General features: G+C 38.4%; 1 protein-coding gene across 4 annotated transcripts in view, besides 1 other annotated feature; it reads left to right on the top strand.

Annotated features, from left to right (window-relative positions):
* Positions 1-25648, top strand: part of PDE11A (phosphodiesterase 11A) — a 485096-nt gene that overhangs the window by 197849 nt on the left and 261599 nt on the right. For 3 of the 4 annotated variants that reach the window (NM_001077197.2, NM_016953.4, NM_001077358.2), the window contains 2 exons: positions 5304-5393; positions 12293-12433. In NM_001077197.2, coding sequence (NP_001070665.1) covers positions 5304-5393; positions 12293-12433 — 231 coding nt within the window. Of the gene's footprint in view, positions 1-5303; positions 5394-12292; positions 12434-21734; positions 21873-25648 lie in introns of those variants that run through there. The other variant, NM_001077196.2, reaches the window with a different exon arrangement.
* Positions 4075-4369: an enhancer, noted in NCBI's record as "tiled region #7527; HepG2 Activating DNase unmatched - State 4:PromP, and K562 Activating DNase unmatched - State 12:CtcfO". NCBI's record gives its function as "activates a minimal TATA promoter and a strong SV40 promoter by Sharpr-MPRA in HepG2 and K562 cells {active_cell/tissue: HepG2 | K562}" and the evidence as "EXISTENCE:reporter gene assay evidence [ECO:0000049][PMID:27701403]".

Genomic DNA, 25648 nt, shown 5'->3' with positions numbered 1-25648 from the left:
GAGCAGAATAGCAGAATAGAGCAATATATATATGTGTGTGTGTGTATATATATATATATATAGAGAGAGAGAGAGAGACAGAGAGAGAGAGACATCTGTAACACTGGGACTGAAAAAAAAGATTAAAATATTTTGTTTTTCATTTTCTATTTCTACACTGCTTCAGTTTTTCTTACTGCCTCTTTTCAAAAATGTATTTGCCTGCTTCTCCTGCACATTTCTTTAGAAACTCCATAGATCATACTGTCATATGCGTATACATTGTGCAATTGAGTCTGACCCCAGAGGGCTGAATTGTCATGCCAATGAATGACACAGGGTAGAACATTTCCTACATTAACAAAGATTCTCTCTCAGTGTGCAATGAGTCATGAAGGTATAATATTGTCTCCATCCACAGTAATGTTTGGCCAATATATACATTGGAGGTTACCATGATTCAATTAAGCCTTTGATTGAGGCTGACAAAATACAAATTGGCTACCAATGACATAAAGAAGACCTAAAAGAAACCGGAGACAAAGGCAGATAATCTACCAAGATTTTGATTGGCAGCTGGCTTTTTAGCAGCATCAGTTGCACTTGATAAGGGAATAATATGTTTTAAGTACTGAGAGAAAATAAGTGTAAGCCTAGGATTGCATACCCAACTACCTTACCTTTTAAGATTGATTATAAAATAAACATATTCATACAAAACTAAAAGCATTTATCACCAATGCTAAAAGATACTCTAAAGGATTGTCTTTGGAAAAAAAATAAAACTATATCACAGAAAGAAGGAAGGAGGTGTTGGAAGGAATGAGGAGGAAAAAACTGGTACACATGTGGGTAAATCTAAACAAACATTAATAATAACAATAGTAGTAATGTCCAATAGGGCCAACATTTGGAAGGCCTTAACAGGGAGTTGAAATTTGAACTTTAGCCTGTATTTTTGTGAAAATATTGAAGGAATTTGAGCTGGCTAGTAATCCTCTCAGGGATGTAGCTGAAACTAGTGGTAAACTTGAAAATAGTAATGGTGTCATGCAATTTAGTGTACGGGCTGCATATTAACCCAGGGCCTGACGGGAGAAGGCAGTCGGGCGGCTCTTGTTAAATTGAGCTGATCTGTGCATTCCCAGTACAGTGAGTTGGGTGTTCATTTTGCCATTTGCTTTTGTTTGGATGCTGTTATAGGAGCATTAACTTGAAAAATTGGAGTACACAAAACAAGACAGCAGGAGTCTCTTTTGCCATTCAAAATGCCATGTTAAATGCCTTGTAATTGGCTTAAAATGGCAGAGTTTTTGTTGTTTTTCATCTCCACTAAAGGATAAGAATTGGAAGTATATTGTGATATAAGGAGTTTGTTACATTTGTATGAGAAAATTTCATGAAAGTGACATTTGCTAGATGTGTAAAATGGAGGAAGATTGTGGTGTTGCTTTTCCTGAGGTTGTGACAAGTAAATACCATTCATCTGTCAGGACTAAATTGAGGGGTGCTTTGTCGGACACAGTGGGGTAGATGAAAAGAACTAATACCGATCTGATTTGCATGCTTTCTTGATAGTACATTGTACTATTCATGAAGAATAGCTTATACTACTTGGAAAAAGTATTTGCAAATTCTAAATTTTTAGATTAAAAACTAGGTTTAACAGAAACAAGATTGGATGAGGATGAAGAGATTTGTGATTGACTGACAGTTTGATGTTGGGCTGTTCCTAGGCTTCCGGGGACACTGCAGTGTTCCCACTGGGCTAAGACTGGAACCTCTCTAGCCATGTGTGGAACACAGCCTGGTTCCTGGTCCCTGATTCATTTTCCACGCTATAGCTGGACGCACACCACAGGACCCTCACCTGTGGGCCCAGCTTTGCCACAGCCCCTATCTGTGAGCAGTTCTGTGTCTCATTAAAACATAGTGCCTCACATTTCATACCTGATGGGCCCCTTCCTTTCTTCTGCCATTTCCCTCCCTTTCACTACCAAGAGTATAAGCTGATCCTTAAAGCTCCACCTGGAGGCGAGGGCCCTGCTACCTGCTGACAGGCTCAGTTTCTTTTCTGCCCCAACTTTCTACTCTGGCCTTCATAACCACACTCTGATGCCTATCAGTGTGGTCTGCTCTCTACCTAGGATTTCCCTTACACCATCTGCTAGACAAATTGCCCCCTGAGAATGGTTGCCTTGTTATCTCCGGAAACTGGGTTTTGCCTGCTCTACCAGAACTGCTTCCTGCTTCTGCAGTCTCCTGTGACTGCTCATACACTGGAATAATGGAGTGCTAGTCTTAGTCATCTATCTTGCATTGCAGTTAACCAGACTATCATATTAATTGTATGAAAGATATGTATGACTTTGGGAAGCTGGAGAATGTAGAAGTTAAGAAGGTAGATCTTAGGGTTAGGCCACTTGGATTCTAAATTAAGCTTCTCCATTTGCTATCTAGGTGACATTGTTAAGATTTGTAAAGAGTCTGATTTTACTATACAGTACATGCAGGCTAGCAAGTTAGTCTGCCACAGTCTCATGGATGCTGACAGAAGACATGAGACTCCTGGATCAGTGACAAAAAAACAGTTTATTACTCACAACAATAGCAATAGTTTGAGCATCAGCATTTTTGCTGGTTCCCTGACCCCAGTAATAGCACATATAGTAGATTGCATGACAGCAGAGGAACCTGAAATGTAAGCAACCCAAATCTTTTATAATGAACGGTGAGCCTGCCTGACCTCTGTCTAGAGGGAGATATTGTCTTTATTATACTGGATAGTAAACACTTCTGTTCTTTGCTCTGAAAGGAGACAGTATCTCTATCTTCCAAGGCTGTTCATTGTATAAGCATTCCAGAAAGATACAGCCAGTGCCTCTCTCTGCCACGTGTACAGAAACATAAAATATCCATAGAGAATTATCTCCCAAGAACTTTGGGTAAGTTCTTAAAGCCTCAGTTTTCTAATCTGCAAACTGGGATTAATGGTAAAACATAAGTGAATATAAAACAGATGTAATGCATATACAATGCTTAACATCATCCCTGACACATAGCATCATGCCTGACACAATGACAGAAGGGCTTAGCCAATGGCAATTACTATTATAAATTATTTTTTCTTGAATAAGGTGCAAGCATGTTTACTGAATTCTGTTTTCTCTAGTAAATAGAATATTGCAGCTTAATGATGTTTTGCATTATTTGAATCACCAAAGATTAGAACTAAAAAAGACCATAAACCTGGCATTTACAGATAAGAAAATAGGTTCAAGAGCTTATATGATTTGTTGCACTTCACACAGCAAAACTGTAAAAAGAACAAAGATTATTTGATTTAAAATTCAGATTCTTTTTAATTTAACATAATACCTGGAACTCAGTAAATATTGGAATTACAAATGAAGTGAAGCAAGCCTATGATATATTAGAAAACATTTCACATCTTCATTTGATCACTCTCCTCTTACTTGCTTGACTTACCAACCACCTTAAATTTGTCCCCTGAAGGCAAAAATAAATAAAACAAATAAGTAGTGGAAAGTTAAAATAAGTCTCCTCCTTGCTTTTATCCCCGTTATAGTCATTGTCTCCATGGCAGAAAAAAACAATGAGCCAAAAACAAAACCTCCAGAAAACTACAAGGAAAGTGCTTGCTCTATGTGTAGGTGATATTGAAAGTGGTCCCATTCTGCCTAAAGGCAGGGAAATTCTAATGGAATATCTGGCAGCTTTATGCCAACAGCTTTATCTTGGCTTATGGACAGACTTTCTAAGGTATGAGGGGGAGTAGCAAGAAAGGGGAGAGTAGGGGGTAACAGAAATAACATCTAGTTCCAGAAGGCAACATGTGAAAATCCAGGGAAGGAATTTATCCCCAAAACATCTGCAAAAATCATTGATTTTTGTATGTCTTCTTAATTCGGATCCCATTGTTTCTCTATCTTCTTTAAAAATGAGGTCATAGCTTTAGTTTTTATATGGCTCTGAAATTCTTTCCAGGACCCTAGGTCAGAGTTGATCATGCCCAGGTAACCAAGGAAAGATTTTAATAGGAAATTCAGCGATAGGGAATGTGAATTGCCCTTCATCTTTTGTGTACCTCAAGTCCTCTGCATAATTGCCTTGCACTCCAGGTGATTCTTTTCTGGATGTCCTGGGTGCTTCACAAGTGCTTCCTGAGTTGGTGGAGGCTGCTGTCGTCCCTCACCCACAGCGGGCACTGCACTGCCCTCTGCTGGTTACAGCAGGAATTGCTCTATTTTGCCAGCGCTTGTTACCTCTTCCTAGGGCACCATTGTGTGCGTGCGTGCGTGCGTGCGTGCGTGTGTGTGTGTGTGAGAGAGAGACAGAGAGACATAGAGTCTATGATATAAACATGCTTTTTTCCCTCTTGCTTTAGAGAAGTCCCAAGTATGTCACTTGTTTCATCTACATTGCGAAGAATTTAGGGAAATAGTTCTTTCAGTTTTTACTTGGAGCATTCTATCTCTCTGGAATCAGAGATTCTGGAGATGAATTTCTTGAGAGTGCAAGGCAGTAGTAAAAATCCCTATGCCTAAACCTCCATGATGAGAAAGTCTTTGTTAGGGGTAGGCCCATCACGGCTGGGTGTTTCTGCCCATAGGAGGACTTCTCCATTACAGGCTCCCAGCCTTTCCTCATCAGGCTTCTGCAGAAGCATCCCACCAGTATGATTTGTGTCCAGTTATGTCTACACAGTGGCAGACACAATTAGAACTCTGTCGCAGAAGGCTGCCAGGCCTGCTGACCCCTAGTTCCCACTGGGCCCATCCTGACAGGCATGTTTAAAACTGGTAGCAGATAGGTCTAGAATCAAGCTGAAATCCCTGCTACAGATGTGAATTGTATGCCATATACATATGGTATATGCCATATGCCAACGAAAGAATTGACTTATATCCTGCCTACCTCCAAATGTGAGTATGGGCACATGCCTTAAATTCCAGGTATATCACAGTTCATTTACTTATTTATCCTTCTTTTATCCAAGAAATAATACAAGCTGCTTTAGACACAGTTCCTATGTCACAGCCCTCATAATCTGTTGCTTCACTTTATGTCTTCATAGATGTGAATTCTCTAGTTAAAGCTTGATTTACAACATATTTTAGTTAACTTTGAAAAATATTCATAATGAAGTTAAAATACTAGTATCAACAACTCTCTGTATTCAATCTCTATAGATGCAAATAAAGTATTACAATCAGGCATATAGAAGAAGTGTGCAATTTAGTCTACAAGGGATGTATCAATGTTCTTATGTTTTAATGTTCTTACTACTCTCTTTGTCCCAGGTTATGCAGATGTATCTTCCATTTTGTGGAATCGCCATATCTAACGCTCAGCTCTTTGCTGCCTCAAGGAAAGAATATGAAAGAAGCAGAGTGAGTAAATAAAAACATTGTTGACACTCCTCAAAACTCTCTTTCTGGTTTCTGTAAGTCATTATGTCTTTTAAAAACAGCCAATGAATGATCTTTGAATAGTACAGGAATCTTTTTTATTTGTATAATTCTGCAAGGCTGTGGTTGAAGATACACTTTAAGCAATAAGCCCAAATGGAAGTGGATACACATTATCTGTTGTTATTTGGGGGAAGGGGTACAAGCTTCTTTTAAAAATGAAATTGGCTGGGCACGATGGCTTAAGCCTGTAATCCTAGCACTTTGGGAGGCCAAGGTGAGTGAATCACCTGAGGTCAGGAGTTCAAGACCAGCCTGGCCAACATGGTGAAACCTTGTCGCTACTAAAAATACAAAAATTAGCCGGGCGTGGTGGTGGTGCCTGTAGTCCCAGCTACTCGGGAGGCTGAGGCAGGAGAATTGCTTGAACCCAGGAGGCGGAGGTCACAGTGAGTGGAGATCGCACCACTGCACTCCAGCCTAGGTGACAGACTAGACTCCATCTCAAAAAAAAAAAAAAAAAGGAGATTAATATCACATCTATACTATAAGGCAGCAGATATATCCTTGCTTACTTATGGCTTTGAAGCAATAACACAATTTGGTGATGCTTTTACAACTAAGTTCCTTTAAGAAGCAAGTTATGTTACAAACATGATCTTACCCCCACTTCCCAGATTTTATTTTTGAATTGAAACAATTTTTGGATTGAAACCATTTTTGGATTGAAAGGGTTTCTGAAAGTGCCCTTCACTAGATACTTGGAACAATAATGCAAAGACTGTTTTACAGTATTATAAAGAAACACTTAGAGAGCTCTTTTATACCTTCAGGAGCTATAGATCTAAGTTGCAAAAAAGGCAAAGTCTAGTACTCAAAAAATGCTACATTATCAAATAGAGATTAAATTATATTATACTCATTCTAATTTTAAATATAGGAAGATTACTGTAACAACTTAGAAATATATTTAACAAAACGATGTTCAAAAAGGTTTGAAACCCTAATTAATCTGGCCATCAAGTTGATTAAAATTTCATTTGCTAATTATTATGATTTATGGATATTTTTATCAGTAAACAGATGAACATAGTTGACTAATATAGCCATGGTCTTTAGCATGACATACCACATCTTTTCTCTGTTTTGATCTTCTTTTCATCTTTAGCCCCATGTCTTACCGTGCTCCTGCTTTCATCTGGAACTCCAGCAATATAGTCCCCAATTTCCAGCAAACAATCTGTTTCATTTGATCATACCTTTAGCCGTATTCCTCCCTCGGCCTTCAATGCCTCATGTCAATCCAACTCCTTCCAACCACATCATGTGCCTCACACATTCTTCAGGACCCAGCTCAGCTTTCTGATTAATCTTCCCTTCTTCACTTATGGTTTTGCCTTGTATCTACTGCCACTATTCTATTATGAATACTTATCACACTGTATTATGATATTTGAGGAGGGCCCGCCTCTCCAACTACATTTTGAACTCCTTAAGTGAAGCTTCATATATGATTAATCTTTGCATTCTTGTGTATGGCACAATTAATTTATTCATTCAACAAGTATTGATTATGTAGTTCCCTTCACATGCTGTCTATCCAAATCCCTACCCTTACGGAGCTTACTATTCATGAGAACAATACATATTAGATAAGAAAACAATTTTTTTAAATTGCATAGTATAGGTAGCAATAAATACTGCAAGGAAAAATAAAGTGAGATAAAGGGATAAAGGGTTGAGGAAGGCTGAGTTGGGAGGATGTTTATTTTAGAGGGTTATCAAAAAGGTCTGTATAAGGACATGATCTATAAGCAGAAACTTGAATGAAAAGAAGGAGCAAAGCCACATAAAGGTCTGCGGAGAGCATTTCTGGCCATGGAATACCAAACACAAAGGACCTGGGGCAGGAGAAAGCTTGGTCAGTGTGTTTAGAGAGCAGAGAGAAAGGGGAAGAGTGAAAGGGAAAAAAAATAAAATGAGGACGTGGAGGCAGGCCAGATGGTAGAAAAGCCTGTGGGCATGGCAAGGGCTTTGGCTTTCATTCTGAGTGCAATGGAAAGCCATTAGATGATTTTGAGCTGAGTCTGACTTACTTTTAATAGAGTTCACTCTGGCCTCCCTGGAGATAATAAACTGGCTGGGGAGGGAGGGAGAAGGCTGGAGCAGTGAGAGGACTTAGGAAAGAACTGTATTGAAGTCAAAAAATAATATGGCTGGGACTAGGGCAGTGAGAAGTGACAGATTTCCTCCAAAATCAGTGGTGAAATCTGTGGGGGCTTGCTGATATGGGAAATGAGTGAAAGAGACTCTTGGCTGGCACAGCTGGCAAGTAAACAGTTGGATACAGGAGTCTAAAGCTCTGGGAAGATGTCAGGACTGGAGATTAAGATTTGGGAACCAGCAGCATATAAAGGCTATTTAAAGCCAGGAATCTAGCTGGGTTAATTTAGGGAAGAATATGTAGATAAGAGAATGGAAAGCTCCAAGGACACATCCAGGAGCAAAAGAAGGTCACTAGAAGGAGGGACAAAATGCAGATACTCATTTCCTGGAAGGCAAGTGACATCAAGAAGCAGGGCCTATTCAACTGTGTAAAATACTTCCATTATCTGTTGAATTGGATATTGTCACACACATCCGTGTGAAGAGAGTCTACCAACAGGCTTTGTGTGAGCAACAAGGCTGTTTATTTCACCTGGGTGCAGGCAGGCTGAGTCTGAAAAAGGAGTCAGCAAAGGGTGGTGGGATTATCATTGTTTCTTATAGGTTTGGGATAGGCATACAAAGTACATTCTTAAGGGCGGGGGAGAATATTACAAAGTACCTTCTTAAGGGCGGGGGAGAATATATCGTATCAGTTAGGGTGGGGCAGGAACAAATCACAATGGTGGAATGTCATCAGTTAAGGCTATTTTCACTTCTTTTGTGGATCTTCAGTTGCTTCAGACCATCTGGATGTATACTTGCAAGTCACAGGGGATATCATGGCTTAGCTTGGGCTCAGAGGCCTAACAGATATTATCCTAGATTTTCTTCTCTTTTTCTCCTATCCTGGAGCTAGTCTGCATTGTTATTTGTAAAACTTCCATCACTCATTAATAAAGCAATTTTAAATTAGAAACAATAAAATTACTGTAATGTGATTTGTCAGTGCAAGACTCAAGGCACAATTAATTTTTCCTCTGAGATAAATATTCTTGTATATGGATCCCAGAGGCTCTCTCCATGCAATCACAACAAATTGAAAAGTTAAATAATTGTTCAGTTAATATGATCCATCTGAAGAAATAGTCTAGATGATTAAAGAAATAATGTTTTCCCCATTAATAACAGGGCTTTTTGCTTGTAATTACTGAGACAATTGTCTCATTTTTAATGTCTAAACATGAAATTATTGTTCATTGACCCCTTACAGAGATTTGCTGTCCAAATGCCAAATATCAAGATTCACTTAAAAGTTTTTTCACCTTTTGATGTTCCTGTTTGCTTTGGGATCATGGAGCAATATGGTCCTTAGCTCTGTTCAGTCTTTCTTTAGAGATAATGTAACCACCCAGTGGGTTCACTTTGCCTGCTGCCTAGACAAAGCTGATTTCTCAAGACAGGGGAATTGCAAAAGAGAAAGAGTAATTCACACAGGGTCAGCTGTGCCAGACACCGGAGTTTTATTATTACTCAAATCAGTCTCCCTGGATCAGAGTTTTTAAGGATAATTTGGTGGGTGGGGGAAGGCCAGTGAGTAGGGAATGCTGATTGGTTGGGTTGGAGATGAAATCATAGGGAATTGAAACTGTCCTCTTGCCCTGAGTTAGCTCATGGATGGGGGGGGTCACAAGATCAGATGAGCCAATTTATCGATCTGGGTGGTGCCAGCTGATCCATCAGGTACGGGGTCTGCAAAATATCTCAAGCACTGATCTGAGAAGCAGTTTAGGAAGAGTCAGCTGTATGACTCCTAAGCCATAATTTCTGATCTTGTGGCTAATTTGTTAGTCCTTCGAAGGCATTCTAGTCCCCAGGGAAGAAGGAGGTTTGTTTGGGAAAGGGCTATTGTCATCTTTGTTTTAAACAATAAACTATAAACTGTGTTCCTCCCAAAGTTAGTTCAGCCTATGCCCAGAAATGAACAAGGACAGTTTGGAGATTAGAAGCAAGATGGAGCTGGTTAGGTCAGCCCAGTTATAATTTTGCAATGGTGGTTTCAATAACCCTACCCAGGATATTTGGTCCTCTTTCAATTGCTCATTGAACTGGACTCATTTCATGGATTTCTTAACTCATTCACATGTTTTTTTCTTTTCTTTTCTTTCTTTTTTTTTGAGATGGAGTCTCACTCTGTCATCCAGGCTGTAGTGCAGTGGCGTGATCTCAGCTCACTGCAACTTCCGCCTCCGAGGTTCAAGTGATTCTCCTGCCTCAGCCTCCTGAGTAGCTGGGACTACAGGCATGCACTACCACACCTGGCTAATTTTTTTGTATTTTTAGTAGAGACAGGGTTTCACCATGTTGCCCAGGCTGCTCTAGAACTCATGGCCTCATGTGATCTGCCTGCCTTGGCCTCCCAAAGTGCTGGGATTATTGGCATGAGCCACCACACCCAGCTACTCAAATGCTTTTTTACCTGAATAGATTCAGAGAAGAAATTGTCACATTTCAAATAATTTCAGGACAAATCAAATTCATTATTGAAGTTGAAAATTAGTCATGTCCCTGAGATGATGATCAGCACCATGATGAATAGATGTGAATTTGACAATTCATGAATTCCTTTTGTGAGAGGTCAGACTTGAGATTGCACCTCTTTCTACATTCTGTTGAATCAAGTGCCCTCTGGGCAATTCACTGACTATGTAATTTTCTGATTGCTCTCTGAGAGAAGCATAATGTCTACCACCTGTACATAACCTACTAATCTTAAATCTCTGGAAACATCCATGCCATTAAAAATTCCAAACAAATATTATTTATTATTTATTTTTTATTTTTCACAAATCCATACCTGACCTGAGCAAACAAACATTATTTCAATGCAAAAAAATTGCAGCTAATTTCTTAGCTAGAGAAAACCACGGGTTACTACAATTTAATTTTTAAATAAGTACACAGTTTTCAAGTTAGAGCTTAAGATTTTTTTCTAAGTTGTCTGCTTTTCATTCTGCTGTTTTAAAAAAAAATTAATGTGTTTTCTTTCCTGATATATAAATATCTAAATGTTCTTCTGGACAGTTTGGGATAAAGCAGTATTTCCTCTTGGGTAGAGGAATTAAGGAGGGTACATATGTATGTGTGTATATATGTATATTTTTGTATATGGAGGGTATATATATTTTATATATATGAAGGGTATGTATATATTATATATATTTATATTATATATGTAATTTATGTATTTATATTTAGCAAAGACTAAATGTAAATTACATATATATATATATATATTTAAGAATCTGAAACTTAATTAGCATTCACCTCTCTAATTCTTTCAGAGTTATGTAAGGGATGTGTATTAGTGAAAATGTCTCAAGTTTGACCAAGAACCTGTTTCTTCCTGATAGTGAGGAAAAGCTGCTTTGTAAGTTTCTGAAATCCATGTGCTTTGGAGGTATTCATTATTTATAAAATGTTTTTTGGTTTTGTTTTTTTGTTGTTATTGTTTGTTTGTTTGTTTTTTAGAAAGAGTCTCACTCTGTTGTCCAGACTGGAGTGCAGTGGCGCGATCTCAGCTCACTGCAACCTCTGCTCCCTGGGTTCAAGCAATTCTGCCTCAGCCTCCAGAGTAGCTGGGACTACGGGAACATGCCACCATGCCTGGCTAAATTTTTTTTGTATTTTTAGTAGAGTCGGGGTTTCACCGTATTAGCCAGGCTGGTCTCAAACTCCTGACTTTGTGATCCACCTTCCTTGGCCTCCCAAAGTGCTGGGATTATAGGCATGAGCCACTGCGCCCGGCCAAAATATTGGGTTTGTACCTAGTTGCATTGCAGAAAAATCACTACAGAAAAGTGGAAATGCCTGTAGCTAATGGTTATATGATCCCTGTGTCAAACTGAAATATTAATAATCAGAATCTAGTTTTAAAGAGTTTATTCAAGTGAAAAGCTGGGAATGGCCAATTCGGGAGATACAGACTCCAGAGAAATGGGGTAAATGTTCCAAAGTTAAAAGTTAAGCTCCTGCTTCTACAGGCACAAAGTAAAGAAATTTAATAGGGTTTCAGCATTTTCTATACAAGGCCGGTGTATGAGTTATAGCAATATAATTAGTTACAGTTTGTTTTCTTTTCTATACAGCTTGTTTTCTTCATAGCTGGTTTTCATTTTCTTTCCAATTTAAAAGAGTATATTTAACATTCCATCTTAAGGCAATGTTATGGCTATGGAGTCCTTGTGTGAGAAGAGTAAGAGGGAAGTTAATCTGTAATGAAGATCAACAGTGAAGAGGGAAGGGGTATTCTCTGGTGCTCATTAGTAATTTTCAACATTTTACCAAACAATTTTGGTAAGGAAGAAGGCTAATCTATAGTCAAGAGAAACAAGGGTTATAGCTGCCTTGGTTACACCTGCCTCTCAAGTGACCCCTATAATCAGCATCCTTTAAGACTCAAAATAATCTAGAGTTCCAATAGCTTAGGTTTTGAATTACTTATCTTCACACCTGTTACAAGAACTAGCTCTATTCTCAAGTTGTATTTTGCAGTTTAAGCATGTGTTCTAAAATTGAGAGATAAAAATATGTCAAAACAATCATAAAATTTTTTAAAATTAGCTACACAAAAAGATTTACTATATTTTATTGAAGCAAAGATTAAATTTTAAGAAGAAAAGCAACTTTTTTTCAGTTTTACATCCACTTATATACATCTATTTCATCTTTTCTAGGCTTTGCTAGAGGTGGTTAATGACCTCTTTGAAGAACAGACTGACCTGGAGAAAATTGTCAAGAAAATAATGCATCGGGCCCAAACTCTGCTGAAATGTGAACGCTGTTCTGTTTTACTCCTAGAGGACATCGAATCACCAGTAAGTTATCTTTTATCTTTTAAAGTTGAAGACTGTGTGAATGGAATAAAGTTGAGTTTATTTATAATTAAACTTGTGAAATTGTGACTTGATTCACTCTTCGTGACTCTTCAACCATGGGGCAACTTTTCATCAAACAAGTTTTTTATTTTCTTTATGTGTATTTCATTCTCTTTTTGCAGTCAACTTAGAAACATAGACTTTTAAGCTAACAGGGACTTTAGAGATCTAACCCAGGCCTTTGTAATTGCAGATGAAGGAACTAAGGGGTTCAGTGATTTGCCCAACCTCACACAGCTCCATTAGAAGATAAACTCAAGTGTCTGTCTCACATTTTATTTACCTATGAAGGGTAAGGCCCTCAGCATTTCGGGGGGTGGATTTCAGTCCAGAGAATGCTCCATGGTCTTCTTAAGGCAAGGAGGAAGCAAACAAATGAGTGGAGATTCAGTACCCTTAGCTCTTGGAGCCCAGACAAACTGGACTCGAGCAGAATGGAATGGCCAACCGAAGCTGGGCCCTTCCCTGCAGCAGATTTGTCCTGTGGAGGCTTCCAGGTTCTTTCACAGCTGCTGTTAACCTGCGAATTCTGGCACAAAGTAGCCTTACCAGGTGAAGGGGGCTGCTGTTCACTTCCCTGCAGGGGTTCCTGCTGCTCCATAGGGAAACATCTCGTTCAGAGCCTTAGGGCTGCCTCACCGTGGCAATTTGTGGCCAGCTTTCTGGTTTTGTTAAGCCCTTTGGCTTTCAGGGGGAAATCTGCTGGGTAGATAAGCAACAATATTGAAATAATAATCATCATCAATCTAAATTCTTGAAAGTTAAATGTCTAAACCCTTGGCAGCAATTTAATATTTTTGCTGAGAACTTGCTTCAAAGATCGGGAATTGTGTAGCAATTATTTGCTTTAATACCTGACAGAATGTTATTTTGCCACACTTTACTTAGAAAAGATTATTCCCTTTGCCTTTGGGTTTGTTTTCCTCAAAGAATAGGAACCTTAGGGTAAATTTTGGACATTTAATAAGTATTGTAAGACTTACAATATTGAGTATCTTTTAAAATCTGTATATGTCTAAAATGTTTAGGAGTGTTTCCCCAGATTTTAGCAGAGATTGGGGTTATTTCTGTTTCAGTCAGTGCGGTTTACACAAACAATAGCCTGGAAAGTATCCTGTGATTGTATAAATCTCAGCTGAACCTTGGGAGAACATGCACACACACACACACTCCAATAGGCCATACTTATGGAGTGTTTCCAGAAACGTTGTGAAACATTTGCATTCTTTTAATCCTTATCTTATAAGGTAGGTGTTACTATCATCCTATAATAATTTTATAGATGAGGAAATAAGGCTCAGAAGGTTGTGTGACTTGCCAGTCACCTCCACTGCCTGACTCTAAAGCCCCTTAAAGGAACGGGAAGTGGTAGGGGTGCTCATTAATACCTGGCAGATTTCAGGGCCACAGAGAAGCCCCCATTAAACAAAGGCAGGAAGGGGCAACTGTTGGGGCTTTGGCTGCCAGGATAACCTGAACCACCCCAAGGTCCCTGTGGGAGCAAGTGGCTGGGGGTGAGGGTCTGGGGTATGCAGGCTGGAATCTGGACACAGGCAAACTCACTGTTTGCTAGCTCACTTGTAAACAGATATAAAAACAACTTAAACCAGTTAAGCGTGGTCATTCTTGCTAATCTTCTAACTTCGACTAATTTTTATGGTGTGGTCTAACTCTTTGGCAAATGACCAAAAAAATATAGATGATGGAAGTTGATATAGAATGTTGGGGCAGAGCTGGAGGGAGCAGTAGAAACAGCAGTATCTTCATGGTATAAAGTAGGAAGAGGAGTGATCAAAATACACCATCTAGATAGAGTAGATGGTACAAACGATAACAGCGCTGGCTGGTATTCTACTGAAAGTTCAAAAGGCCTCTTTGCTATCACTGCTGAACATTCTAAGACTAATGTTGGGGCAGAAAATTCTGAACCACTCCTCATCATTTCTTCTCTTTTCTTACCCATCCCCCTCCAAAGTGATATTGATGGAAAAACCAAACTCCATAAAATATTTTATTTTTGTTTTGTTTTGGCTTTTTGATTTTTTAAATTCTAATTTTCTAAATTTTAATTGATAAATAATAATTTTATGTATTTCTGGTATACAGTGTGATGTTTTGATACATGTATATATTGTGGGATAATTATTAATGTATAATTTGTAATGTATATGTATAATCAAAAACATAGTCCTTCTATCTAACGAAACTTGTACACTGTGACCAACAACTGTCTACTCACTTTTACTTTTAGCCTCTGGCAACTACCATTCTACTTTTTTCTTCTATGAGTTCAACTTTTTAAATTCTAGAAATAAGTGAGATCATCCAGTATTTGTCTTTCTGTACCTGGCTTATTTCACTTAACATCCTTCAAGCTAATTCATGTTGTTTGAAATTACAAAATGTTATTCTTTTTAAAGGCAGAATAGCTTTTTTTTTTTTTTGAGGTGGAGTCTCGCCCTGTCCCCCAGGCTGGAGTGCAATGGCGCGATCTCAGCTCACTGAAACCTCCACCTCCTGGGTTCAAGCAATTCTCCTGCCTCAGTCTCCTGAGTTGCTGGGATAACAGGCACCCACCACGATACCCAGCTAATTTTTGTTATTTTTAGTAGAGTCAGAGTTTCGCCATGTTGGCCAGGCTGGTCTCGAACTCCTGACCTCAGTTGATCCACCCACCTCGGCCTCCCAAAGTACTAGTATTGCAGGTGTGAGCCACAGCACCCGGCCCAGAATAGCATTTTTTAAATGGATAATTGTTTCTGTTACCTTGTGTATTTTGTAGACTTATTATTGAAAGTTTTCTCTGTCATCAAGTCCCTCAGAGCACCTCCAAAAAAGCATCTCTTGAAATATGAAACTCACTCCTTTTTTTTTTTAATTTTAAGTTCAAGTATACATGTGCAAGTTTGTTATATAGGTAAACAGGCTTATTCTGAGCCAATATGAGTGACAGTGGCCCAGGGAAAATACAAACAGAAGAAGCCTTGAATAAGTGGTCCCAAGGTAGTTGGATCACAGTTTGGTTTTATACATTTTAGGGAGGCAGGAGTTACAGGCAAAGACATAAATCAATACATGGAAGGTGTATATTGGTTTGGTCCGAAGGGCAGGATATCTTGAAGCAGGGACTTACAGGTTACAGGTAGGTTTGGAGATTGTTTAATTTGCAGTTGATTAAAGGAGTAAGGCTCTATCTAGAACTTAGAGTCAGCAGAAAGGAATGTTTTAAATTAAGATAAGGATGCTATGTAGCAAGATTGGTGGCCTGCAGGAATGACTTAACCCTTGCCTTACATGGTGTTAGGTCTTGTTTATAATTTGGTATATTATTGCCACAAAGAGTCTGTTTCGTGAGTCTTATGATCTCTATTTGAACATTAATGCTGCTCAGCTGTGTATGAACTCCAAAACGGAGGGTGAATAATGAGGAGGCTATTCGACTTTCCTTCCATTTATGGCCAGGAATTCAGTTTTTAAGGTTTTTCTTGGGTCCCCTTGGCCAAGAGGGGGTCTGTTCAGTTAGAGTAGGATTTTATTTTTAGTTTATAGTGAGAATGAGCTCCTGTAACACCATACGGATGAACTCTAAAGGTTAAAAGTGAACCAGGTGAAAAAAAATATTAATCTGCTCAGTATTATTCCAGAAGCAGTGAAGACTTTTTGGCAAGTCTGCTGCCTGTGGAGGTGGTGGGAGAAGTTTGGGGTAAAGGTATCTATTTATGTGGCATCCCCAGCAGAAAACTTACCAACACTAGGCATTCCTTTAATACACTTCTCACCAAAGGCTTCTCAAACCTTTAGGCTTGTAGGTGTCACAGTTCTGTGCACCACCCAAGTTGTACAGTAGAAATTATAGAAAGGATACTAGAAACAGTCCCACCACATTCAGGAGAAGAAGCCAGGATAAACAGGAAACTGTTTATCTCTGCCCCCACATTCAATATCAACTTCCATCATCTGTACATTTTTGGTCATCTGCCAAAGAGTTAGACCACACCATAAAAACTAGTCCAAGTTAGAAGATTAGCAAGAATGACCACCCTTCTAATCTACTGTATTAGAAGATTTTCAAACTTGACAAAGTTATTTTTACTGGAAATATTTCAATAATAGGTATATTTTTATAATAATAAGGGAATCCATATAAGATCTCAATATTACCAAGCAAATCCACAATTATACCTTTTCCATATTACTTATGACCTTTCTTTCCTTATTATTATCAATGAACATATCACTAGCAGGATGCTTCTTAGACAGTCTTCATCACCTCTGATGCCCCTGGTATTTATGATAAACACCAAAGAGCTTTTCCTTATGCAAAGTGCTAGTTCCATTTTTAGATGTGTTATAACCAATAGTTATCTACATAACATAAAACAAAAATTTCAGGAAAAAAAGATTGATATCAAGGGGTTAAGGGAAGTCCCCCTGTCCACACCCCTCCCCAACTTGACAGTAAGCATGTGGTATGTTACTTCAGGGGAGGAATTACTCATAATACAGGAACAGCTAAATGGGTTTTTAGGTTCCAAAACGGGCTTTTAAAATTTATAGCAGGGCTTTGCACAGTAGCATGCACCTACAGTCCCAGCTACTCAGGAGGCTGAGGCAGGAGGATTGCTTGAGCCCAGGAGTTCAAGGACAGCCTGGGCAAAATAGTGAAACAACACCTCCGAAAATCAATCAATCAATAAATAGATGAATAAATAAATAATATAAAATTTATAGCAGGGTTATTCTGGAAAACCAAAACTTTTTCCTAAAGGCTTGAATGAATCAGAACCTAAAATTATGAACAAAACAGTAGAATGAAAAGAGAATAGATGAAGCCCTAGACTATCCCATTCTTGGATTGCCTGGACTAAGGGAGGAGAGGTGGAGAGGAGAATAATAAATGTGAGGTTGTCAGTCTTCCTAACCTTGCTCCCAGACTCAATTCTCCGTATAGTGGTGGTGGTGGGCATTGGAGAGCAGGTGGGGGGAGTTGAAACTTCCCCCAGGCATCATGGCAGGAAAAAAGAGGTGACAATGTCAGAGGCAGTAAGAGGCAGTGAGAGCCTGACAGCTTTTCTAGAGTCCCAAAGGAGCATGAGAGGCAAATGCAACTTTTCCCATTTCCTGGCAGACATTAACAGATGAGGGCTGGGGCCTGAAGAAGCCTGGCTGTCAGGATGAGGAAGGGACAGGGTTGTGACCTAGTCCTGGAGGGGCTGTGGATATTTATGCATATCCAGTGTTAGGAATGACTGTGCTGAGGGCCAGCAAGGCCTTCTTATCTCAGAACAGAGGCCAGTCTGGGTGAGCAGGTGACTGCAGGCCAGCCATGTCTCCTCCAAGCACCCAGAAAGGTGCATGTCTCCTTGGTGAAAATTTCAGTATTAAATGAGTCTAAATCTGAAATGACTGAGAAAACCTGAAGTGGCTGAGTTTAACTGGAGTAATCTCTTTTGTCTTCTGCCAATAAGCAGACTTGAGGCTTAAGCAGATAAATTTAGTTGAGTTATAGAAAAAGAATATGTTACTTTTTTGTATAGCTGTATCTGTGAACTTTTAAATCTATAATCAATATGCAAATTATATTCTCTAATTAGTTATCTTGTATTCAATCCACATATATAACAATTAGATAGATGGGGAGAATGATGTATTATTCTATGAATGTTTTGGAAGCAAATGGCTGGCAATTTGGAAAAAAACCGTAAGAAGCTGGATTTCTAGTTCATACCTATAAAAATATAATTTTATAAAAGGCAAAATTATGATTCATATAAATATAAAATAAATGCAAGTTGAAGATTTTTTAAACTCATTAATGTATGAGGGAGCCAATATGACGTTAAAACCAGTCCAAAGAGCACTTGAAAAGTTAGGTGTTTATGGGCAATGTTAAGATACAATTTCAAGGTTAAAAACAATACTGGTTAAAGACAAAACTAAGCCATAAACTATAATCTTCAAGATTATCTTTTCTTTTGGAGAGAATGACTTGTATCTCTACCAGAGAAAGGTACAAGTTAACATGTAATTTCACTAAATCTGGAGTCTTTTATCTGTATTAACCAGTGAGAGGAAGGAACTAAGTACATTTCTTAGATCAGAAATTGGCAATTTTTTCTGTAAATGCCCAGAGAGTAAATATTTTAGGGTTTGCAAGTCACACAGTCTCTATTGCAGCTACTCAACTTGGCCCATTATAACACAAAAGCAGTCATAGACAATACATATAAAGAATGAGCATGGCTGTGTTGCAATAAAACTTTATTGACAAAAATAGGTAGTAGATCAGATTTGACTAGCAGACAAGGGTTTACAGACCACTGTTCTAGATAATCCTTTGCCGTCTTATAACATTGAAAAATGAGTACCCAGCTTTTTGCCTTATTTCTGTAATGCCAATGTAAACTTCAGAAGAATCAAAGATTCAATGTTAAAAAATCAAATGCAAAAATACTGGTTAATATGTTTTATTCACTAGGTAGGTAAAGGCTCTTTAGAACAATCATTCAATTCTGATGAGAATAAGCACTTTCAAACAGCTCTATGATTTTTTCAGCCATCAGATTGGTAAAGCTTGAAAATAATTATAATAACCAGTGTGAGTATGGGCATTAGAAAATTGACTTTCTCATTACTGATATGGGAACTTAAGTTGGGATAACTTTTATGGTCATAAGTTTGGTAAAATATATTTGGAGATGGAGTCTTGCTCTGTCACCCAGGCTGGAGGCCCAGGGTGGAGTGCAGTGGCATGATCTCGGCTCACTGCAACCTCCGCCTCCCGGGTTCAAGCAATTCTCTTGCCCCAGCCTCCCGAATAGCTGAAAATATATTTTAACTTGAAAAAGGGGTAACCTTTGCACCCAGCAACTCCTCCTCTTAAAATTTAGAATAAGGAAATGGATGGAGATGAGACCAAAATGAGTATATAAGGATACTTACTGCATTCCTATAGTAGTGAAAATGTAAATAATTCAAATATCAATAGAAGTTTATTTAATGAAATTCTATGTAGTGTTTTAAAACAATGATATATGACTATATTCATAGAAACAATGTCTTTGATATAATTTTAGGTGAATAATAAAGGGGAGAAACAACATATATAAAAAGAAGCTGTTTTTATCAGAACATGGGTACATAAATGAGATTACATTTTCACAACTATTAAATTGACAGAGCTTTGAATTTTCTCCTTTTGAGTCATATTTTCTTGTATCTTCTCTTCCAGAAGGAGTCATGAGTTTATCATCTCATGGAAGGAAAGGGCAGGTAGTCAACCTCTTAGCAAGAGAACAAACTTAAAAGTCAGGGTGTCAGGAGAGAGGATTTGCTAAATGGATTTATCTTTTAGCAATTAAAGACCAATCTGGACCCAGGACAAGACATGCAGACTCCATAATCCACAAAAGAAGTTCTCATAACCCCATGCCACAAGTCATCACTCCACTTCCACCCCATATAAGGTTGGGAGGGCTACTTAATTCAGTAGAAATTAGATAAGATGAAGTATTTAATAAAAGGCTGAGTGAGGTTACTTCCCTTCAGCCATCTTGGGTAGAGCACAATGTTCACCAAAATAAGTCATGTATACTTGCTTGAAACAGTAAGAGCAGGTGCCTGGGCAGGCTCGGGGATGTTTCTTGAGTCCTCCTTGCTGCCATAGATTGGCAGAAGGTGTGGCCAGGGTGAGTGGAACAAGGAAAGTTGCAGACAAGTCATCCTGGAAACAAGGCTGTTGATGTATCAGGATAAATAGGAACACAAATGGCAAGTCACCCTGCAGCTGCTTATCTTGGCCAGATGAAGATATTTGAAGGCTAATTCATTACACAAAAATATCTATGTCATATTGGACTTTACAGTAAGCACAGGAGACTTCTCACCAGGCAGAAGCTGAAATGGCTGCTCAGAGCAGTGTTGGTGAGAACACACTCAAAGACAATAAACTGAAATTCAAATGCAGCCACCCTAAATCATTCCCCTGACTTCACCCTCCCCATCCATTATTCATTTAAACACTAACACACAACAAAGAGCCACTAGCAGGGGCTCATGCAAAGATACTCCAAAAAAAGAAGTAGGAAGGGATGTGAAAACAAAAGCCAAGTGAAAAACACACACCAGAAAAATGCTTAAAGTTTTCCATGAAATGAGATAAAAAATAATAAGATCTCTCAGGAAAAATAAAGTTGTTCAAGAAAGAGATACAAAAGCTTAAGGAATAAATGATAAGCAGTATAAAAGATAAGAAACTGGGTTGGTAGAACTTGAAAAAAAGTAGAAGAAAAATATGTAGCTGCACAGAAAGGAATACTAGATTAAAAACAAGAAGAAATAATACTTCTAAAATACTTTTAGGCACACAAATAATAAAATTGAAAATAAAATGGATAATAATAAAGCATTAAAAAAGGAGAATGATAAAAATGGAATCAGAATAACAGAGGTCCAAACTAAGTATTCTGGGCAACTCTAAAGAGAACATGGCAAATGGAACAGGAAAAAAAAAACATTCAAAATTATAACACTAGGACATTTTACTGAAATAAAGGCAATCTTGGATTTACAGACTGAAGGAACACACCATTTCAGGCAAAACTGATACCGACTGCTTAGCACTGAAACACATTTGGTGTTAATAGACTTCAAAGATGTTGAAAAAAGCATATGGGCATTTACACACAAAAAAATCAAAGCATCTATTGCAGGAAAATTCATTCTGATGTTAGACTACCTAGTTGCAGTCTCCTGTGCTGGAGGACAATGGGCAATATCTACAAAGTCCTCAGGGAAAGAAAATGTGACCCTATAATTTTAAATCCAAAATTTAAAGCCAAACTCATAGACAATTACACAAGTTGCAGAGAGATATTTTCAAATATACAAAGAAGAGCACAGCAAATGTAGTTCTAAGAAGCCCTTCCTGAAAAGTATGAGAGTTTGAAATCTAGCCAAGCAGGTGATGAGTGGGGAAGTTGGGATAAGTAAGATGGGTATTGAGTATTGAATGTATTTAAATATCGAAGTAAGGCTAAAAACAGTGGAGCATATACTTGTAGATACAAATGTAAACCTTATATTGTAAACCATAACAATGGTGCTGGTTCCCCATGTTCTCCAAGTTCCACAGGTGCAACAGGTGGGTATGGGCATGCACATGCACTGGGTCATATTACAGAAGAGGTCGTATTACAACACTGTGCTTGGGAAATATATCCCTTTTCTGTGGAGTGGTATCAAGCCTGATGTTTGTCTGTGGAAAGATGTTACTTCATCTCCCAGGTTTGCTCACTGCAAATACAATCCTGAGAACTGAACTAGGGCCTTAAAGTCCTGACATGCATGGCTTGGTTTTGTGGATTGCCTCTCTCAACAGGTATATTTGTGGAATATTTTAATTTTAATGTGTCAAATTTATTAACCTCCTTTTTTGATTTTTGCTTTAAGGGTTTTGTTATAAAAATCTTTATCTACCTTTAGCTATAATGGCATTATTGTATATCTTTTTACATCCATTTGGTATGCATGGTCTTTTTTATCCATCTAGAATGTTTTTGTGTGGGGTATAAAGCAGTATGTGTATAACCAATTGTCTTAGAACTGTTTTGCCTCCACTTTGTAGTGGCACTTCAAAATTATAGTTTCCATATATACCTGGGTCTGTTTCTGAGCTCACAATTTTGTCCTGCTGGTCTATTTGTTTATTTCTGCACCAGTATCTATCTGAATTTCTGTAATTTTGTAATGCATTTTGATATCTGATAGGCCAAGTCCTCAGTGTTGTTCCCCTTTAAAACTGGCTTGCTTATTCTTGACCTGTCATTCTTCCATAAAATTTTAATAGCAGCTTAGCAAATTCCATGAAAACTCTGTATAGATTTTGATTGAAATGTATCTAATTTATGGATCAATTTGGGTGACTCCTGCAGGTAACAGAATATTCAAGGGCAAGTGGCTTTCACACTGAGAACATTTATTAACTTACATGACTAGAAGTCTCCAGGAGGTGGTTCTGGGGATGACGCAGCAGCCAGATGATGTGATCAGGGACCCAGGCTCTGTCCATTGCCCTCTGTTTGTCTCAGTGGTTGGCCATCACCAGCTGGCTTTTCCCTTTATAGTGCACTAGGCAGCACGTCCACACATAACTGTGTCCAGGAGAAGAAAGAGAAACTTCTTTTCACATCCCTCTCTTTTCTCTCAGGGAGCAAAATCCTTTTTGTTTGTTTGCTTGTTTGTTTGAGACAGGGTTTCACTCTGTCACCTACGCTGGAGTGCAGTGGCACCATCACAGCTCACTGCAGCCTTGACGTCCCAGGCTCAAGTGATCCTCCCACCTCAGCCTCTCAAGTAGCTAGGACTTCAGGTGCACACCACCACATCCAGCTAATTTTTGTGGAAATGAGGTTCCACTAGTTGCCCAAGCTGGTCTCAAACCACTGTGCTCAAGCAATCCTTCCACTTTGGCCTCCCAAAGTGTTGGGATTACAAGCATGAGCCACCGCACCCAGCTGAGGAAAATCTTTTTTTTTTTTCTTTTTTAACGGCTTGTCCAGCCGACGTTTCCTAAGACCCCGTTAATCAAGAATGAAATGTTGTCCAAGTCATCTATATTCTTAATACTTTTCTATTCTTCATCTATCAATCTCTGATTATGGGTGTGTTCAAATTTTTAGCTTAACAGATTCTTCAGTATTTTTTGTCCAATTATGTAGGTTGTTGATTTAGTTGTTTGTATTAATTATGTGTTTTTGAATTTGGGATTGCAGCTGATTTGGATGGGAGAGTGTTTTTGTTTGCTTATGCCATTGCTTTCTTTCTTTCTCTCTTGCCCTCTTTCCTACCTGTCTAATAGTTTGCCCAGCTTCCTGACCCCTAATCAAAAACCAAGACTTATTCTGGTGGCTCAGATTTCCTGCTATGTAGTAATATTACACCAAGCTAGAGGCAGCTTGGTTCAGTTTCTTGGGGTGAAGCTGGGTCACCTGTTTCCCACACCCCAGCAGGAGCTGAAATTCCGACCATCACTGCCAGCCTGTTTCTGGACTTGGAGTTCAGCAGGCCTACATGTCTTCAGGCTTGTGACTTTAGAGATCTTTTCCCTCCTTTCCCTTCTCCTCCCTTTCCCTCTCCTTTTCTTCTCTCTTCCTTTCAATCTCTAAATGTCTTTCTGATTTCCTCTGTGTTTTATCAGTCTTTGCTCTGTTTTTGGAAAAGATCAGATGTGTAAAAGCATGAACTTATAGCACCATCTCTACTGGCATTCTGTACACTACTTTTATAATTAGAAAACAAAACAGTATCATTCAGGAAAATAAAAGTTTCTCCCTCCAAAAGTAAGTTTTATTTCTATTTTATTAGAATAATTCCTGAAAACAAAAGTTCTATTTGTATTTTGTGATTCTAATACTTAAAAAAACTGCTTATTGCAAATTTATGTTTTATGGCCTTTATATTTGAAGGGAATAAGGGAGAAAAAATTAATTCTGGTTGTAGAAGCTTTGATTCACCAAGATCTTAACTCTGTGTTTAGAAACTGCATTTGTGGTCTTTAAGCTAGGCACTCAGGTGTAAACTGTTCAGTTTACTGAATGGATGCCAAAAATAGAAATGAGGAATGCTGTTCTAGCCCTTTCTCCTGACAAAATTAATATTTTGCACCCTTTTGCTTCTCTTAAGTGTTTCAGTCCATTGATTTTAAGTGATTTTGTCAATGGCATTTTCCATTAGACTGGGAAGAAGGAAAGATTGCTCCATAGCTGGCTGCTGCTGTTAACATTAGGAACTATTTAGCTCCTTGAACTGAATATTCCCTGCTTACTGTTATTCCATCCTATGAACCTGTCTAAGCAATTCCTATCACTTCTCTTAGTTCTTTCCAGCTCATGCATTTACTATTATTTCTATTTATTTTTGTGTGTAGTCAAGGAAAGTGAATGTAGACATTTTAATCTTATGTCCTAAGGCACTGTCTCAAGTCCTAGTTTTTACAAGTGTTCTCTTCTCATGTATCATCTTGATGGCTGGCAGCTATTTCGTTGTTAAGAACTCTACGAAGTACTTTCTAACTAAGCTTATAAATACCTGGCTAGTGTCTGGAGTTTCTTTACAAAACTGTGAAGCATAAGCTAGCTAGGCACACTTGTTTTCTTATATCCTCCTTAGCTCCTTGGTCCTTATGTAAATGTACATACAGTTAAGCCAATGAACTAGACAGTCTTCCTGAATCCTACACTCAAGGGGAAGAGATGGGGCGAGCATCCTCCGATTGTTCTGGGGCAGTCCGTAATTCAGTGCCCTCCTTCTCAAGTGAGTTGCAAAAATTGCCTCAGCCTTTGCTTTCTATATCACTTACTTTCCATTTCCCTACCTTTCCTTCTTTGATTTTCCTTCTCCCTATAAAGAAGCCCACTTAAATTCAGTTTGATTTTTGCTCCAAGTGTTTTTCTAGTGTGCAAAGTGGAGAGTATTTAAAAAAAAATCCTCTGATGATTACCCAAACTATTATTGTTATATACACAGTCATCCCTCAGTATCTGTTGGGTATTGGTTCCAGGACAGCGCATGGATACCAAAATCTATGCACACTCAAGTCCTGCAGTCAGCCCTGCAGAACCCACAGATATGAAAGGTCAGCCTTCTGTATCTGCAGGTTTCACATTGCCCTGAATGCTGTATTTTCGACCTGCATTTGGTTGTGGATGCAGAACCCATGGATAAAGAGGGCCAATTATATTAACTGAAAAAATGTGCATATATAGTACTATATATACACACACACACACACACACACTCACATCATTAATGTATCATATTACTTGTTCATACATATTAACTCATTTTATTAATAACTGTATATCAATATAGTAAATCAACTCACATCATTAATCATTTATATGTTAAATAAACATATGTATGCATATATATATTTATATAATCTTCAACTACTGAACCCCTAACCCCACTGTCCATCTCCATTACATCCCATCCCAAATCTTCTCCACCTCTGATATTTCCTATTTAGCCAATAGAACCATCACCATTTAGTAAGTAACTCAAGCTAAAAACTGTAGAGTAGTTTCTAAGTCGTTCTCACTATTCTACATTCACTTGTGTCTATGATCTGTTGCTTCTACCTTGAAACATCATTTC

The sequence above is a fragment of the Homo sapiens genome, chromosome 2, assembly GCF_000001405.40.
Source record: "Homo sapiens chromosome 2, GRCh38.p14 Primary Assembly".
NCBI lineage: Eukaryota > Metazoa > Chordata > Mammalia > Primates > Hominidae > Homo > Homo sapiens.
Note: the sequence above shows the minus strand (reverse complement) of the source record. Positions and strands in the feature narration are given on the sequence as shown.